The sequence below is a fragment of the Homo sapiens genome, chromosome X (assembly GCF_000001405.40).
Source record: "Homo sapiens chromosome X, GRCh38.p14 Primary Assembly".
Taxonomy (NCBI): domain Eukaryota; kingdom Metazoa; phylum Chordata; class Mammalia; order Primates; family Hominidae; genus Homo; species Homo sapiens.
In genome coordinates, this window is record NC_000023.11 from 15,566,916 (window position 1) to 15,585,057 (window position 18,142).

Genomic DNA, 18,142 nt, shown 5'->3' on the forward strand with positions numbered 1-18,142 from the left:
CTACTCATCTAACTCAGAATAAAAGCCAAAGTCCTTAGAATGGCCTTCAAGGCCCACATGACCTTTTGTCTCTCCCTCCTTCCTCTATGCCCTAACATCGTCCTGGCCATGTCTCCACTTGTCTTCTAATCTGCTCCAGCCACACTGGCCTCCTTGCTGTTCCTTTAACAGGCTGAGGATATTCCTTCCTCAGGGTCTGCACCTGCTGTTTCCCCCAGCTGAGACACTTTCCCCATTGTCTGCATTGCTGGCTCTCGCTCTCGCTCTCTCGCTCTCTCGCTCTCTCTCTCCCTCTCTCCTGCTTCATATACTTGTTCAAGTATTAGTGACGTCTTTTCTGACCATTTTGGTTAAAATTGACCTACCCCCTGCCCAACACACACACACACACACCAGCCCTCCCCAGACCCTTTTATATTTTTCTCCTAGCACTTAGTACCTTGTAACTCTATATTTCACTTACATATTACACACATAGACACATACACAACATACATACTAGAATATAGGTCAATGAAGGCAGGAAGTTCTGCCTTTTTTTTCTTTCAGTGCTGAGGGTGTATGAGAGCATTCTGAGAAGAGAGTGACAGCTGTTTAGTAAGAACAATACTCTTGCAATTTACCAGTCAAATAAGGCACGATCAGCCCTCTATGGAGTCACCCAAATTCCACAATACCAAAGAAGTATAAGTTACTAGGAGATTTTTATCAATTTCACTTGAAGAAAAGTTTAGGCAGAGTATCTCCTCAGACTCAAGAGTAAGAGAAATCCTAGTTGGAGTAATTTGAGAACCCAGCAAATCAACTCACCCAAAAAGAATCATCTGATTTTTTACTTTTAAAAAGTACTGCCTCATAGCATATGCAACAGATGATCGGAACAGGTACATTTCATTGTCGTTCCATTCATACTGCAAATTCAGAAGAAAGACACTGCTCAGAGGGACTCGTAAGACACATTTATAATCTGATACTCCTCAAGAATTATTCTTAATATTCCAGAGATTCTTGCTATTCATTAAGTCAGTGACCTTCAATGTAAGTGTGCATCCGTATCACCTGAAGGGTTAGTTACAACACTGAGTGCTGGGTCCACCCCTAGAGCGTCTGATTCAGGAAGCCCGAGATGAAACCCAATAATTTACATCTCTAACAAACTCCCAGGTGGTGGTAATGCTGCTGGTCAGGCAACCATGCTTTAGGAACCATTGGGTTCACGGGTCCTTTTACTTTAGTTTGATGTAAACTGAAATTAACACCTTGAGTGTAGGTTTACCGATGGGAGTCAAACAAAAGTTGTGGGTTTTGTAGCAAAATGTCTGTACCTTGTGGACAAAATCAGTTTTTACTATTTTTATGGTACGTTCTCAGAAATGTACTTATCTATAAGTGTAAAAGAAAAACTTGACATTCAAATGAAAAATAACACTTTGTAAACAGCAAGCTAATCTGTTTGTTCTTGTTTTCCAGTGCTAAACAAATAGCTTATGTTTGCATAGCTTTTAAAGACTTAAAAGAAAGCATTCACTCTTTCCTCCAGTAGCTGGCAGTAGGAATCAATGAATGGCACTAGTTGTATGTTTCTCCTTTCCCTTTAAAAAATTATAATATTTCACAAAAGAATTGTTACATTCACTTCAGCTTGGTTTCACCGAGGTTTAGAGGAGTTCCTTTAATAGTAATAATATTATTAATATTGTTACTAATAACAGTCTGGCTACTATCTCTATAAATATAAAATATAAAAGATTTTAAAGGCTGAGTTCTCAAAATAATGCCATAGATCCATTGGAATTCACCATGAAATAGTTTGAACTGAGCAGATATTCTGACCCTGTTGTGTAGATGCACTAAATATATGATCTCGTTTCATCAAAACAGATTGTTGCTCAGTGAATTGGCCTCAGAACATTACAGAATCAAACCCCCTGAACACTATTTACCAACCCTCACTGCATGGAAAGAGGATGAGTATAAATGTCAAGAAAAAAGATAATTGAAAATATCCTGATCTGCCGAGACTAATTAAAATGTATTAAGCCAAGGAAGAGCTAATAAAAATATGACAGAGAAATAGTCCCACAATCACCCAATGATTATTATGAAATAGGAACTTGAACTCTTAATGATTGGAAAGAAATGCACTTCCATTTTCATTTTTTCTTTCTTGAATGTTCATCTTTTTACTCCTGAGTTATTTATGTTTTGATGTCTTAACTATGAAAATTATACTAAAAGTGTTATTGAATCTTGGACAATGTTTAACTTTTCAGGAAAGGTAAGGGGGTAGAAACACAATCTTTGGATCTATCCAATGCAGACAACAATTTGCTGTAGCATCTTGGACCATTTTATCCAATAGTCCCAGATTGACTTCTAACCCTGCAAAGCCTTCAGGGTGTCATACCCACTCTCAGGCTTTTGAGCCCCATCTACCCGAGACTACTCTTTCCTCTCCTCTTTCCCAATCAAAGCTACCACTTCCTCAGACTGGATCATCTGAGACAGGTGTTAACGACAGAGCAATAGCTAAGTAAATAATTCACATTAAGGTGTAAATAACATAATTTCCTGTAAAATATTTTGTTACCCCCAAAATGCATTTCCCTAAATAAGTGGTTCTCAAACTTTGCTGTGACTAGAATCACCTGGGGAGCTTTAAACACTCTTGATGCCCAACTCTTGACTCCATACCCCAGAACAATTAAATCAGAATCTCTGGAGGTGTATAACCTAGGCATTAATATTTTTTAAACTTCCCATGTGATTCCACTGTGCAGCCAAGTTTGAGAAGCAGTGTTCTAAATTAGAGCTTCCCAGTCTTGATTGTACGTACAAATCACCTGGAGGCTTGCTAAAATGCAGATTCTGATTAAGTGGTCCAGGGCTAGGCTTGAAATTACGCATTTTTAACAAGCTTCCAGGTGATTCAAATGCTGCTGGACCATGGGCCACACTCTGAGTGAAGCCAGGATACAGGTGATTGACTAAAACAAAACAAACTAAAAAAACCTAACTGTACCGCTTCTAAAAACAAACTACCTTTCAAAATATAACCATATTCTCTTTCTAGAATAAAAGTAATGGTGACGAGAGTCAATTGAAAGGATTGGTATCTGATATTTAAGGATTGATACAGATATTTTCTCATTGAAGTTCATAACACCTTCAAGGCAATAAGAAGTAGGAATAGCTTATCCAATAAGGAATAGGTTACTTTAAAAACCCAAAGCCAAAGGCCAGAATCTGGAACTTATAGTTTTGAAAAGAACCACATGGCCTCTCTTCTTTCAGTTCACACTGAAATGGGTTTATTGTGTCCTATTTAAGTGAAGACTGTGCACTCAAAAATAATCAATTCACTGTCCAGAATACTCACTGCTTTATCTCCAAGAGCTGATTTTAGGCTTATCCTCACTTTGATGCTTTGGTCTGCATCTGATTAAAGAGAAATAGCAGACTGCTGGTTACAGACAACAGATTGCCCACATGTGCTTATTTCCTTTTCCTCCAAAGATCCCACTAAAGTGATAGTAAAGGGATCTTTTAAAGGTATCAACAGGCTTTTGGAAAACGAGAAATGATGAGACAGGGGTAACTGCTTTCTCAGGGACAGGAAGCCATGACCTAATTTGTACACAGAGGAGGCACAGACCCACAAAGAGCCAAAAAATCCAAAAGAGGTTTGGAATTCAAGCACAGGTGAGGGTGGGAAAATAATACTGGGCTGAAAAGAAGAGGAATGGAAGTCAGGGTGTGGTTAAAACCACTTTGGAGAACAGTTGATCCTCCTACCCCTTGTGCCCCTGCTTGGACAGTCTGTGGGAGGCTATGCTCCAGAAAAACAAGAGGTAATCCAAGAAAGAAGACATGGAATCTAGGAAGCAGTGGATTCAACCCAGGAGAACAACAAATGTTGGGAAAGGAGAATATAAGACTCCAAGAGGGAAGTCTCTAGGGAAAAAAAATGAGACTGAAAAGAATAGATATGTTGAAATATTTGGGAGAAAAACAAATACAACGTAGATAGCAAATTAGGTAAGCCGAAAAATTCAGGCAAGTAGAAACTTTGAGACAAACAACAAGCCACATAAGAAAGGACACAAAATAATACATTACTTGGCTCTTCAGGCATAGTGATGTAAACATTGATAACTGTTTTACTAAAAATCATTATAAGGCCTTATTGGAAGAGCAAGAAATGGAAGTGGAAGAGTAGACCAAAACGAAGGTTTAAAACTGAGCAATAACAAAATAGCAATATAAGAAAATTATTTAGAAATATGAAAGTGACTGCCAGAAAGAAGAGATAATAGCATTAAAATTGTTTTAAAAAAAGTATTTGTCTTTGGAAAGCAGGATTCGAGTACAGTTGGTTGGAGACAGTTATAATATGTATTTTAAAGATGAGACTAATAAAACAGACTTGAAAGAGTACACACTCTTGTATGTGTATGCACACATGTGCATGCATCTGTGTGTGTTTGTCTGTACAGTTGCTTTCACTATGTCTCATACATAGGTGCTCAACAGTTGTGATTTTTCTCCCATAAAATGGCAGCTGTCACCATAGCAGAGAAAGAAGCAGGTACTATAGAGAAAGAAACATTCTCAGCTGTGTCACAAGTCCTCATGAGACTGGGGCCAAAGGAGACTAGACGAAGTAGACAAGGAATGGGTGTGAAACTTGTCAACTGGGTGTACTCACATGGACTCCAGTCGGTACTCCATCCCACAAAAGAATTCTTGTTCTGGTCTTTCAGCCAGGTAAATAAGGGCTCAAAGTAGTTGAGCAGTGGCCTTACATTCATGTTCTTTGCTCCTACAACATTTTCCAATGCTAGGGTCCAGGGTTCTGATTTTCCAAGCCTCAGCATATTGCTACACAAAAAAAGGGGGTTCAGGGCCTTTTGAGGGGTTCCAGATGTACATATATTTACATCTATGATCTATGGTTTCTTCTCTTTGACTTGGCTAAATTTGCTTCTGGCAGATAAGAAAAGAATGCATATTAACAGATATATTCCACCCTAAACCGCTCTTTCCTTCCAATTACCAGGAAGAGAGGGCTGTAGTTATGATAGGGAGAAAAGAGGTGGCCCACCCAATTGTTGTATGGTCTAGGTTCCTGTCTGACCACAAATTAAATGTTTGGTTTGTAAATGAGGACATTTTGAGGCCATAAAATTTTCTTTTTAGAACAAAGAAATCAAATACAAACCTAGGCATGGAAATGAGTAATACTGAATACTAGGAGAGGTTCAACATTTTGAGGTATTTCTTACAACAGTTTCTGTCCAGCTTCTGTAGAGTTTGAGATGTCACATTTGTGCAGAGGGCCTTCATGTTTAGCTGCTTGACAAAGTGCTTCTTGAAACTGGAATTGGTAAAGGGTCCTTGTGTAATATCTGCACAGGAGACAAAGCAACAAAAAAGCAGTCCCGTGTTTACTTACTGTCTTAGAGTTATAGATTAGGGCATATATTTAAATCTGGAGCCCAAGTAACCAAAGAGATACTGATCAAATCTCTGAAATCTCTTTCTCCAGACATGAACTCTACACTCATCATAACCTATTTGTGTTTTATGTATCTGTTGATAAACATGGCAATATTACTCTGTTAAATGTTAGCTAACATTTGTTTTGTGTTTTACAGATTAATAGCCCTTTCACATAAATGATGCAAATCCATCCTTATAACAGGTCGATAATATTATTTTCATTTTACAAATAAACTGAGCTCCAGCAAATTCAAGGACTGGGGTTACTAGGTGAAGAACATATGTTTTTGGACTTCAAGTTAAAAATTCTCTATCACAATGTACAATAAACTGCCAGTAACAAGAAGACAAAACTACTTTTTATTTCTCCCAATGATACTATTGATTGCTGATGACGGGGACAAGATCTTACACAAGTTTAATTTAACCCAATAAATTGTGTTAGTTTAAATTGAATTGAAATTGATCATCTATACAGACAGTTCCCAACTTACAACGGTTGGACTTTTGATTTTTCGACTTTACAATAGCGCTTTCAGCTGTATATGTTAATGGTAAGTACCCAAAGTTTTTCACTTTCAGCACAGTATTAAATAATTACATGAGATATTGAACACTTTATTATAAAATAAGGTTTGTGTTAGATGATTTTGCCCAACAGTAGGCTAATGTGAGTGTTCTGAGCATGTTTAGGGTAGACTAGGCTATGCTTTGGTGTACCATAGGTTAGGTGTATTCAGCGCATTCTTAAGGTATTTTCAACTTATGATGAGTTTATTGGGATGTAACCCCATTGTAAAGCAAGGAGCATCTGTATTGAGCTTGGTAGTTATGGGTGGAAATAGAAAAATTATAATTATCACTTCATTTATCCCTACTTTTTGTCGTTATTAGCACAGCTGTCCACAAACCCTAGAAGTTAAACAGAAACAAGAAAACTGTAATTTACCGAATGAATGAGTAATCATTAGAAACATGGAACAGAGATGCGGGGTCACAGTATGTTTCATCATGGGGCACAGGTTCCACCACCCCAACTATCTCTCGCCTTTGGGGAGAAAAGAAAACAATACATTAGCTGTGGATCACCCATCACAAGCATCACAAGCAGGTGGGCATAACTAGTGCAGTTTCATCAATCAAATTTTTTTTTTTTTTTTTTGAGACAGGGTCTCACTCCGTCACCCAGGCTGTAGTGCAGTGGCACGATCTTGGCTCACTGCAACCTCCGCCTCCCAGGTTCAAGCGATTCTCCCATCTCAGCCTCCCAAGTAGCTTGGTTTATAGGTGTGCACCACCACATCTAACTAATTTGTGTATTTTTAATAGAGACAGGGTTTCACCATGTTGGCCAGGCTGGTCTCGAACTCCTGGCCTCAAGTGATCTGCCCACCTCGGCCTCCCAAAATGCTGGAATTACAGGTGCCACCGTGTCCAGCCAATCAATGGTATTTACATTAGAAATGGTTGTTGGGTGAAATAGAAACAATGTAAAAAAAAATCACCTACAAAAATAAAAAATAAATAAAAATTTTTAAAAAATCAGACAGTAAAGCTCATTATGTAGTTATCTCTTAGTTTTAATTAATTCAGCCAGAATATACCCTTGGAAAATAGCTATGTCTTCAAAAGACTAATTTAATAACATTCATAAAGTGCATTGCATGGCCAAAAATGTACAGTGAAAGCCCTAATAATTCCTCTCAGGCACCACACTTCATGTACTCCTGGCAGAGAGAATTTAATAAAATTGAAATCTTACTTATTCTCCACGCCTACCTAGCTCAAGTGTTCCCTCCTCTGTGAAGCCTGGCCCTGATCCCATCCACCTTCTGGCAGAATTAACCCCTCAATCTCCTTTAGCCTTCTCTAGTTGTGCCTCCTTTGCCATTTATCTCCCCGTTTTGTAGTTATTCAACTATAGTAACTTCCTGCCCTAGAGACTTGAGCTCCTAGAGGGTGGGGCTGTGTCTTGGTCTTCTCTCTAATTCCAGTGTCAAACATGGTGCCTGACACTACAGAAAGAATTAATTTATATTTACTGAACAAAGGAACAATTGATGCATTAATGAATCACTCTAAGGATCTGATTCCATGTGCCTTTAAAATAAGCTAAGAGGGGTCAAAAGATTAATCCAACCAGAAAAAAAGGTAGCAAAATCATGTATTTGGCTTTGATTAAATGGAATACATTTTTCCTTTAAAATTGCAGGATCATTGTAGACATAACTTCAGTAATATTTAAACACTGGCAACAGTTCTTATAGGTGCTGCGTCTTTCCTCCCAAGTACGATTTATGTTAACAGAGAGAATCTTGACAGAAGAAGTGTACTGTTTTAAACCTGTGCATGTGGAACTGCTTGTTACACATGAGTTCTTCACTTCAAAAAGAAAATATAAGAAAAATAAAGAAAGAAATAATTGACCAGGGTCTATGATGGTAAAAAGAAGATAGATTTCTTTCTTGTTTCCATTCTCTCCCTCCCTCTCTCCTTTCTTTTTTTCCTTCTTTTTCTTTTTCTCTTATAATTCCTTCCTCCAAAAACCTATTTATTTCATACTTGCATGTGACAGGCACAGTGTGAGGCACTTGTGACACAGCAATAAGTAACGTAGTGCTGCAACCATGGAAATGGTCACTGTTGCCCAAATGTGTCAGGTTCTCTCTAGCTTGGAATTCTCTGTGTTCCCCTCTACACCCACACCTTTCTCAGGGCTTAAATGCCTCTCCTCATCTGACACCCCCAGTTGGGCTTTGGATCTCCCCTGGACGCTAACGGACCCTGTACCCTCCCATCACAACACTACAAATTGCAGTGGTTTAATTTTCCACATCCTGCCATAAACTAAACGTTTTTTGGGGTTGAGGACCATACCTGAAATTATTAACATTGGATCCCCAGTGCTTTGCCTAAAATGTGGGGTCACCGTTTTGTTTAAAAGGCTGGATAAAAGAATATGTAAAATGAATAAATTGATCACTTTCAACATAATATCATAGTTTAATGAGTAAGCCAATACTTAAGAATATAGAGTATGAAGTAGTGTCACCTGACCCAAGGAAATTTTATCTGAGGAGATGGTATCCAAATGGAGACTAAAATATAAAATATAACAAACTAAAAATACAAAAAGTAGTTAGTTAATGTGTGCCTCTGTGTGTGTGTGTACACGCCAGTCAAATGCTTTTAAATACACAGCAAACTCATTAGAAAACATTTTACTGATTGCATATTCATTGACTTACTTCATCTCCCACCACTTTTTCATCCACTGGTCTTTGGGAATTTCCCCTTTAAAGACCATCCACCTCCACTTCTCTAACATGTAAGTAAATGGCAGAGTCCCAACAATCGTGAGTGCTTGTTTGAGCAGGAAGTTTATTTCTGTTTCTGAAAGTAAAATAGAAAAGGATAAATATTACGATGAAGATGACAGTGGATGTTTTGTGTTAAAGAGAATTTTCCTAACCTCAAAATATTATTCCTCAAGATGTACTTACTATAAGGATACATGAGAAAAATTGACAGTATTCATAATGATATGTATATATTTATTTTCTCAGCTAAGGGATTTGGAGTAGGTTGAAGCCCTGGAACAGAACAGGTAAATAAAACCCAAAGTTACTTCTAATCCTCATTTTCTTCATTAGTTTCAGTTTCCTCCCTTAAATACCTCTTATCAGAGTTCATTAGAGCTATTTCATCCACTTTCCCAGTCACACTGTTTATTCTGGAAAGCTCCATGAAGTCAGTGACTGTTAATGTCTCATTTAAGACTGTATAACTTAGTCCCATGTCTGCTACGTGATGCCTTCTGTGAGTCTTTGTTAAATAAACAAATACTAAACAGATTCAGTGAAAAGCCTGTAAACCAGGGAGGGGAAATGAAACAAAAGAGCCCTCCTGGAGGGCACTATCCACTGGATGGTGAAAAGTACAATGTACTTTAAATGTAAGGATATCTTCCTTACCAAGAATTTAAAATGCTTTAACAAATCATGTTATTTCATTTTATCCTTTATTAGTGACATAAAGAGGCAGTGGAGTTCATCTCTAGTGTATGAAGGAAATGCATTGAAATGTAAGCAGGGGATGTTATCTACTTTTCACATCACTGTGTCTCCAGTGTCTAGAAAAATGTCTTGCACACAGTATGTGCTCGATAAATATGTTTGGAAGAAGAAAGAAAGAGAAAGAGGGAGGGAGGAATGGAAGGAATAAAGGAATTTATTTAACATTATTCACAAATCAGGGGCAGAGTCAAGAAAAAAAGCAGGAGTTTTCCAAACCGGTGGTTTAACCATGTCTAATACTATCTTTTTTATAAAAAAAAACAAAAAAAGCTTTTATTTTAGGTTTAGGGGTATGTGTCCAGGTTTATTATATAGGTAAACTCGTGTCATGGGGTTTGTTGTACAGATTATTTCATCACTGATCTAATATCATCTTAAGAAACATAGTCATCAACCATTTTTACCTGCTGTCAGGGAATATTTAAAAATAATAAAATATCTGTTCATTGACTTGAATTAATGATATTTTAAAATTAGGAAGCAGGTATGGTTACTGTTAACTACCTTTGTTTGTTACTGTCTTCATGGGAGGATGCTGCTACTGGTCTGTAATCCACTAGGACTGTGCTTACAGTAACTATTTCAAACATGATGATAGGCTTTACACTGGCTCACTCCCAGGCCCTTGTGGGATCACCAAGTATCTGGAACCAGAGATCAAGGCAAAGTGAATTGTCTACTCAAGGATGGAGCTCATGACCTTGACCTCATCGACCAAATGCTCCAGACAGAGGAGCTGATCTTTATGTCACAAATAACTAAAAATAGGGGAGAGAATATACAGAAGAGAAGAAGGTATTAGGCTCTATTTGTCCTCCATTTATGAGGAAGAATCAAAAGCCATGGCATCCTCACTGAAGAAATTGGATCTCCTGAACATTTGTCATGTTCCATCAAGTCCAAGGCATCTAAAAGGAAATGGGCTGCCTCAGGCAGAAATGTTGAAGGATAGCACAGATCTAAGGGGATGTTACAGGGGAAATTCACGCTTCAGCAGGATGAACAAAATGTTTCAATCCCTTCTAATCTTGATATTAAACACCTGTTCTTTAAGAATTCCAAAATTTAAAGCTACACTTTGCTTTGCATAATATTATGGAAAAGACTTTAGATTAGGGCTCTTGTTCTGGTTCCGCCACTACATTGCGTTTTGACTTCGGGCTACTTTCCCTCTCTTGTCTTCAGTTTACTCCTCTATAAAATGGTTTTTAGAATATATTCCAACTCTAAAGTTTTGGGAAGTTTTTACCTAGAACCAGAGGGGTCTAGTTAGAATGCTGACACTAATTGGACAAGCCATTTCAGTTCTGTGAGACTGTTTCATCATCTTTAAGAAAAAAACTTCTGTTAGATATTTCACAGGATCCCAAGTCCATTCATTCAGTTACCTCTCTTATTCCCTTTTCAATAATACAAAACCAAAAGTTGACATGTTCTGATATATACTTAAATTTTTTCACCAGTAGTAATTTCCAGTTACCCATAAATACCTCATACCTTATGTGGCAAAAAGTAAATATTTCCTACATAATAAATACCTTTTCCCATATCAGATTAAAGAACCTCCAAAACAAGCCATGAGAAAATGTCCATACCATTGTCTTCTTGAAAATCGGGTGACAGAAGACCAATGGATTTTAAATGCTTAGGTGTGGCTGCAGAAAGTGACATGATTTCCCCAACAGCTTCATGGAATCCTTCATTAGCTCCATTTCTTAGCAGAAAAGGTTGTGCAGCATATGCCATATCATACTGGATATGCCCCATCTCATGATGAGCTGTCAGGAAGTCGTCCATTGTCACCTTTGTGCACATAAGGATCCTGCATGAAAATGGACAAGATGAAAATGAATCTCACTGACTTTCATTTAACCATTACAGTGGAGTTGTATGGGGTTTTGGTAGCATGAATCATCTTTCCAAGATTTATTCACCAGTGAATCTTGAGTACCCACCTCTTATGTCCTAGAGACAATACTAGTTGCTCAATATAAAGCAATGGGCACAGCTGAATCCTGTTCTCTTGCTCATAGACTAACAGGAAGACAGATAAGCAGAGTTCTCCGCTACAAGAACTCTGAGGCAAGTACTCTATAAGTGATCAGTACACACAGCCTTGAGCGTAAAAATGAGTGAATGTAGGCACAGTTCCCTAGAAGCACCAAGAAGGGCATGACTGAGGATACAATGAGCAATTTGGACCTTAATCAATGTGCAGGAGTTTGCCCGGTAGATGACATGGAAGTTGACGTTCTAGTGCTCAATGAGAAAGGCTTAGGGGCAGGGGGGTGGAAATGTGGCATTCAGGACACTGCACGCTGTTTGGTATTGCCAGGATAGAGAAATAGTAGAAGGGGCTGCAAATTGAAACTTGGGAATCATTAGCATGTAAGTTGGGAAATAGATATGATGGGCCATGGAACAGGAATAGAATGCAAGAAAAGAGGACCAAAGATAAACCTTTAGAAGGTCCAAGTACCTAAGGAGTGGGGAGAGGAAGATTATTCAGGGGAGACGGAGAAAGTACAATCAGAGAGGTCAAGGAAATCTGGAAAAGAATGACAATGTGGAAGTCGGTTAAAAAAAAAAAGCATTTGAAAGACAACTTGTAAATCTTGTCTAATGCTGCTATAGCCCAGTGGGATAAGAACTGCATTTGGCAATGAGATGGTGGTCCTTTTTAACTTAGCAAGAGCATTTTCATTCAGATGGGTGTAGGGGTCATACATCAGTAGATTCCTAAATGTATTTCATACCACTTGGATCATGTCACCACCCCCTCCAATATCCTGCGAGGCCTCCTCATTGCTCAAGAATAAACTCAGCCACCTTTTATACACCAATATGACCCTGTAAACCAAAAACTATTTGAGATAGGTCTCAATCAATTCACAAGTTTATTTTGCCAAGGTTAAGAACATGCCCAGAAGAAAAGAACACAGAATTTATAGAAACAGTCTGTGGTTTGTGCCTTTCTCCAAAAATAATTTTGAGGGCTTCAACATTTATAGGAGAAAAGTGAGCTGGAGAGGATAGTGGGAGGGCATGGTAATTCACACATTGCAAGAGAAAGGGGGAAGGTAAGGAAATATTCAGTTATGTATTCATCTCATGCTCAGTAAATCTATTTTCCTTTCACAACCCCAACCTACTTTTCTAATTTGGTTTCTCTCTATTCTCTTTTGAAATAATTATAAAAATAACTACTATATATTTACCGCCTACTGTATGTAAGATTCTGTGCTTGAAAACTTACTTATACTTTCTCATTTTTAAGCCTCACTCTAGTACTGGCATCAGTAAACTATGGCCTGCTGGCCAGCCATTGTTTTTATAAATAAATTTTTATTGGCACACAGCCACATCCATTGGTTTGTGTATTGTCTATGGCTGTTTTCATGTCACAAAGGCAGAGCTGAGTAGTTGTAACAGAGATCTGCAAAGCTTAAACTATTTACTATCTGGCCCTTTACAGAAAAGGACTGTAGATCCAATCCCTACCCTAGTCAATGCTGGTGCGGGCCTGCCAAGACTTTATCCACCATCCCCTAGCTGCCTGAGTCACAGCTGATAAGGGCCTACAGCTGCTCCCTTCACTGCCTTTGGCTAAATGGGGGTTATGCTCCCCCATACTCTGGGGCAGTCCACAGCCAAAGACTGCCTGATATAAAAGGCTAGCCCCCTTGTCTTGAGGTGTGGCCTAGTCTGTGGCTCAAGTTATGCTCCAGAGAGCTTCATGGGATAAGGCTGAGGCCAAGTTTCCAGTAAAGATCACATTCTTACTTACCTCCCTCCTTTGTCCCAGCCTGCTTCCCTCATTCCCCTCTGCCTCAGAGCTCTCCTCAATGAAGCACTTGTAAAACGATCTCCTTTTCAAGCTAGGGAATCCAACCTAAGGCTCTCACAAGCCTGCAACCTGGGAATTACTATTCTACTTTATAAAATAAGGAAACTGAAACCAAAGAAAGTTAAATACCTTGTCCAAGGTTGCATAGTCATTAAGTGACACACCTAGGATTCTGAAGCCTGTGCTCATTCTGCCACATTACACAAACTCTCCTTCACTTATTTCTCATTCTAGCCTAACTTGCCGACTTCAGTATGCAGGTCAGGTCCTGCCTCTCTGTATTTGATCCTGCTGTTCTCACAGCTTGGGTCCTCCTCCCGACTCTGTGTATCTGAATCCTTCTTGTCTTTCCAAACCTAATTCAAATCCCACTTGTAAAGCACGGTCTGATCCTATCTCCTATTGCAAATGTGGTCAGTTTTCTTCCAGTTCTCCATAGAGCATGCCCTGTGTCTCTCTTACGACATGTACCACTTTCTCCCTTCGATCCAAGCGTATTTATTCACCTATTCTGTCTCATTCACAAGAGTGAAACATGGAGGGGAAGATCAATGTGTGATTCATATGTCCATCTTCCAAAAATCTTAGCACCAAATCTTTCCTGATATGGGTGCAACCATCCCCATTACCATACAACGCCAATGGATGCATGATATTTCCAAGAAAGCAGATTGTCCACAGGTTCAAGTTAGAGCCTGCTGGCAATCCTCTTTTCCTGGGAAAACCCAAATGTGCTCTCCTGGACTCCCAGCCTTAGTTCAAGGAGAATTAACTTATCTTTTCTGTGCTCAGAAAAGCAGAGAAAGAATTCAAGTTAAACTTCAGCCTGCCTCTGTTGTCTCCCATTTAGTATCAGTTGTGTAAGTATCAGCCCCACTACCTGAAGTCGCCCTTCCCCAGGTCCCAAGCTGTGGGATGGCAGACTGCTTTCTGAACATTTCCTGGGTCCGTTAGCATGGAATTTTCCCAGAATCCTTGAGTCATATTAGGAAGACCAACAGATACAAAGAACTTCTCGGCCTCCTTGAATATTCTCTGTGCATCCCAGGCCTGGGAAAAGAGAACAGTATTAATTCCAGCATCAAAACAACAGCATTCTTAAATTAAATAAGCCAGGCACCGAAAAACAAATACCACATGTTCTCACTTATGTGTGGAATCTAAAACAATGGAACTGGTAGAAGCAGAGAGTAGAATGGTGGTTACAGAGGCTATGGGGTGGGGGCAACGGGGAGATGATGGTCAAAGCGTACAAAGTCTCAAACAGGATGAATAAGTTGGTTTTATTTTTTTGAGATCTACTGCACAGCATAGTAAATATAGTTAATAATAGAACATTGTACATTTTGAAATTGCTAAGAGAGTAAATTTCAAATGTTCTCACTGCAAAAAAAGTATGTGAAGTAATTGATATGTTAATTAGCTTTATTTATTTTTCATTGTATTCATAAATCATGAAATCACCTTGTACCCCATAAATATATACAATAATAAATGTCAATTTACAATAAAATTTTAAAATGGAAAAAAGTGCTAATGTCATTTTTAAAATAGCAGCATTATTTCTGTTGGATATATACATTGGCATAACCTTTCCAAAAGGTAATTTGATAACACACACGGATAGCATTTGAAATTCTTCTCTTTGTCTCAGTAATGCTGTCTCTAAGGAACTAACCTAAAAAATTATCAGAAATTAGATTCAACAATTACATTGAGAATTATTTTTAATAGAGAAAAAGTTGAAACGAACATCAGAATGGTTAAATAAATAATGATACCTTTGAAAAATAGAATAATGTGCAGCCACCCAAATTATATTTATGAAAAATTTTTTGGTTTATATCCAAAAGACAGGCAATAACAAATGCTGATGAGGGTGTGGAGAAAAGGGAACCCTCCTACACTGTTGGAAGGAATGTAAGTTAGTACAACCACTATGGAAAACAGTTTGGAGGTTCCTCAAAAAAGTAAAAATAGAGCTACCATATGATCCAACAATTCCACTGCTGGGTATATACCCAAAAGAAAGGAAATCAGTATTTTGAAGAGATATCTGCACTCCCATGTTTGTTGCAGCACTATTCACAATAACCAAGATTTGGAAACAACCTAAGTGTCCATCAGTAGATGAATGGATAAAGAAAATGTGGTACACATACAAATTGGAATACTATTCAGCCATAAAAAAACGAAATCCTGCCATTTGCAACAACGTAGATGGAACCGAAGGTCATTATATTAAGTGAAATAAGCCAGGCACAGAAAGACAAACATTACTTGTTCTCACTTATTTATGGCATCTAAAAATCAAAAGAGTTGAACTCATGGACATACAGAGTGGAAGGATGGTTACCAGAGGCTGGAAAGAGTAGTGGGAAGGTGGCAGGGGCAGGTGAGGATGGTTAATTGGTACAAAAAAAACAGAAAGAATGAGGCTGTGTGATTTGTGACTTTGGGCAAATCATTTACCTGAGCCTCAGTTTCCTCACCTATAGCATGGAGCTGTCACAATACCTATCCTGAGTCAGAGATGACAATAGAAGAGACGGGTGTAAAAACCCTTTAGAAAGACTAAAAATCTACATCAAGATGGCCCTATACTGCTGCTCAACTTCAAAGTGGAGCTACAACAGCTACAAGAGTTTAGAGGCCCTTGCAGTTTCACTTTTTATTCTGCAGTGGACTTTTCCCAGGAGTATGTTATGTATGTGAAGATGTTCATTGCATTGCTTCTTACAGATGTAAAACTATTAACAAGCAAAGGTTCAGCAATGCACAAATAGTAAATTATGGTGCAATTATCTGAAGAAATTTTATAAGGCAAATAGAAATATGATTAGATATTCTACTCAGAAACGTAGAATTTTAGTTGAATGAACAAATATACATAATTATAACTATAATACCATTTCATCAACAGAAGGGAACACAGAGAATTTTTTTTTTTGAGACAGAGTCTCACTTTGTCACCCAGGCTGGAGTGCAGTGGCATGATCTCGGCTCACTGCAACCTCTGCCTCCCGAGTTCAAGTGATTCTCCTGCCTCAGCCTCCTAAATAGCTGGGACTACAGGCGCACACCACTATGCCCAGCTAATTTTTTTTTTTTTTTTGTATTTTTAGTAGAGACGGGGTTTCACCATGTTGGCCAGGCTGGTCTCGATCTCCTGACCTCGTGATCCACCCACCTCGGCCTCCCAAAGTGCTGGGATTACAGCTGTGAGCCACCGTGCCCGGCCTGATAATTTTTTAATTTTAATTTTAATTTTAATTTTAAATTCAGGGAGTACATGTGCAGGTTTGTTACAAGGGTATATTGTGTGATACTGACGTTGGGTTTCTATTGGTCCTATCAACCAGATATGAACATAGTACTCAATAGGAAGGTTTGTACTTCTGTGGGATCAGTTGCAATGTCACCTTTGTCATTTCTGATTGTGCTTATTTGGATCTTCTCTCTTTCTCTGTTAATCTAGCTAGAGGTCTTTCCATCTTGTTTATCCTTTTAAAAAACTGACTTTTCATTTTGTTGATCCTTTGTATGATTTTTTAGGTCTCAATTTCATTAATTCTGCCCTGATTTTAGTTATCTCTTTTTTTCTAGCTTTGGAACTAGTTTGTTCTTGTTTTTCTAGTTCCTTTAAGTGTGGTGTTAGATTATTAATTTGATATCTTTCTAGGTTCTTGATGTAGGCATTTAGCACTATAAACATTCCTCTTAACATTGCTTTTGCCACATCCCAGATATGTTGTTGGTATGCTGTGTCTCTGTTTTCATTTGTTTCAAAGAATTTTTTGATATCTGCCTTAATTTCATTGTTTACTCAAAAGTCATTCAGCAATAAGTTGTTCAGTTTCCAGGTTATTTCATGGTTTTGAGAGTTCCTCCTGGTATTGATTTCTATTTTTATTCTACTGTGGTCTGAGAATATGTTTGGCATAATTTTAATTTTTTGAATTTATTAAGACTTGCTTTATGACTGAGCATGTTGCCAGTCTTAGAGTATGTTTCGTATACAGATGAGAAGAATGTATATTCCATAGCTGTTGGGTGGAATATTCTATAGATGTCTCTTAGGTTCAATTGGTCAAGTGTCAAGTTTAAGTCCAGAATTTCCAGAATTTCTTTGTTAGTTTTCTGCCTCAATGATCTGTATAACACTGTCAGTGGGGTGATGAAGTCCCCCACTATTATTTTCTGGATGTCTAAGTCTTTTCCTAGGTCTAAAAGTGCTATGTTTATGAATCTGGATACTCCAATGTTGGGTGCATATATATTTAGGATAATTAAGTCTTCTTGTTAAATTGAACCCTTTATCATTATGTAATGACCCTCTTTGTCCTTTTTTACTGTTGTTGGTTTAAAGTCTGTTTTATCTGATACAAGAATAGCAGCCCCCTGCTCTTTTTTGTTTTCTATTTGCATGATAGATCTTTCTGCATCACTTTACTTTGAGCCCATGGGTGTCATTACACGTGAGATGAATCTCGAAGACAGTAGAAGGTTAGGTTTTGTTTTTCTCTCCAATTTGCCACTCTCTGTCTGTTAGGTGAAGCGTTCCTGTCATGCTGTTGTTAGCTGGTTGCTTTGTAGTCTCGATTGTGTAGTTGCTTTATTGGGTCCATGGGCTATGTACTTACTTGTGTTTTGAGGAACCTAGCACATTTAAATAATTAAACCAAAGTAGTAATAAAGATGTTACTTAAAATTGTTT

General features: G+C 38.2%; 1 protein-coding gene across 6 annotated transcripts in view, besides 7 other annotated features; it reads right to left on the reverse strand.

The window, feature by feature from the left end:
* ACE2 (angiotensin converting enzyme 2) overlaps positions 1–18,142 on the reverse strand; it is an 89,015-nt gene that overhangs the window by 48,719 nt on the left and 22,154 nt on the right. For 3 of the 6 annotated variants that reach the window (NM_001386259.1, NM_021804.3, NM_001371415.1), the window contains 8 exons: positions 14,306–14,475; positions 11,174–11,400; positions 8,751–8,895; positions 6,452–6,550; positions 5,286–5,408; positions 4,709–4,881; positions 3,380–3,438; positions 811–911 (listed from right to left, as the gene is read on the reverse strand). In NM_001386259.1, coding sequence (NP_001373188.1) covers positions 811–911; positions 3,380–3,438; positions 4,709–4,881; positions 5,286–5,408; positions 6,452–6,550; positions 8,751–8,895; positions 11,174–11,400; positions 14,306–14,475 — 1,097 coding nt within the window. Of the gene's footprint in view, positions 1–810; positions 912–3,379; positions 3,439–4,708; positions 4,882–5,285; positions 5,409–6,451; positions 6,551–8,750; positions 8,896–11,173; positions 11,401–13,365; positions 13,506–14,305; positions 14,476–18,142 lie in introns of those variants that run through there. The other 3 variants (NM_001389402.1, NM_001386260.1, NM_001388452.1) reach the window with 2 other exon arrangements.
* Positions 13,482–13,605: a mobile genetic element.
* Positions 13,482–14,305: a biological region, named in NCBI's record as "dACE2 interferon-inducible promoter region". NCBI's record gives its function as "regulatory_interactions: ACE2".
* Positions 13,506–13,605: a transcriptional cis regulatory region, noted in NCBI's record as "100 bp region deleted in the P3.1 reporter construct compared to the P3 construct". NCBI's record gives its function as "necessary for interferon-responsiveness of the ACE2 P3 promoter in transfected HepG2 cells {active_cell/tissue: HepG2(+IFN-beta or +IFN-gamma)}" and the evidence as "EXISTENCE:reporter gene assay evidence [ECO:0000049][PMID:33077916]".
* Positions 13,506–14,305: a promoter, noted in NCBI's record as "P3 promoter fragment used in the reporter gene construct". NCBI's record gives its function as "drives interferon-stimulated expression of an ACE2 short isoform (dACE2) in transfected HepG2 cells {active_cell/tissue: HepG2(+IFN-beta or +IFN-gamma)}" and the evidence as "EXISTENCE:reporter gene assay evidence [ECO:0000049][PMID:33077916]".
* Positions 13,525–13,538: a nucleotide motif, noted in NCBI's record as "nucleotide_motif; -22 to -33 STATs and ICS-ISG15 interferon-stimulated response element (ISRE) in the P3 promoter". NCBI's record gives the evidence for it as "EXISTENCE:motif similarity evidence [ECO:0000028][PMID:33077916]".
* Positions 13,539–13,550: a nucleotide motif, noted in NCBI's record as "nucleotide_motif; -34 to -44 STAT1-gamma-IRE interferon-stimulated response element (ISRE) in the P3 promoter". NCBI's record gives the evidence for it as "EXISTENCE:motif similarity evidence [ECO:0000028][PMID:33077916]".
* Positions 13,692–13,799: a mobile genetic element.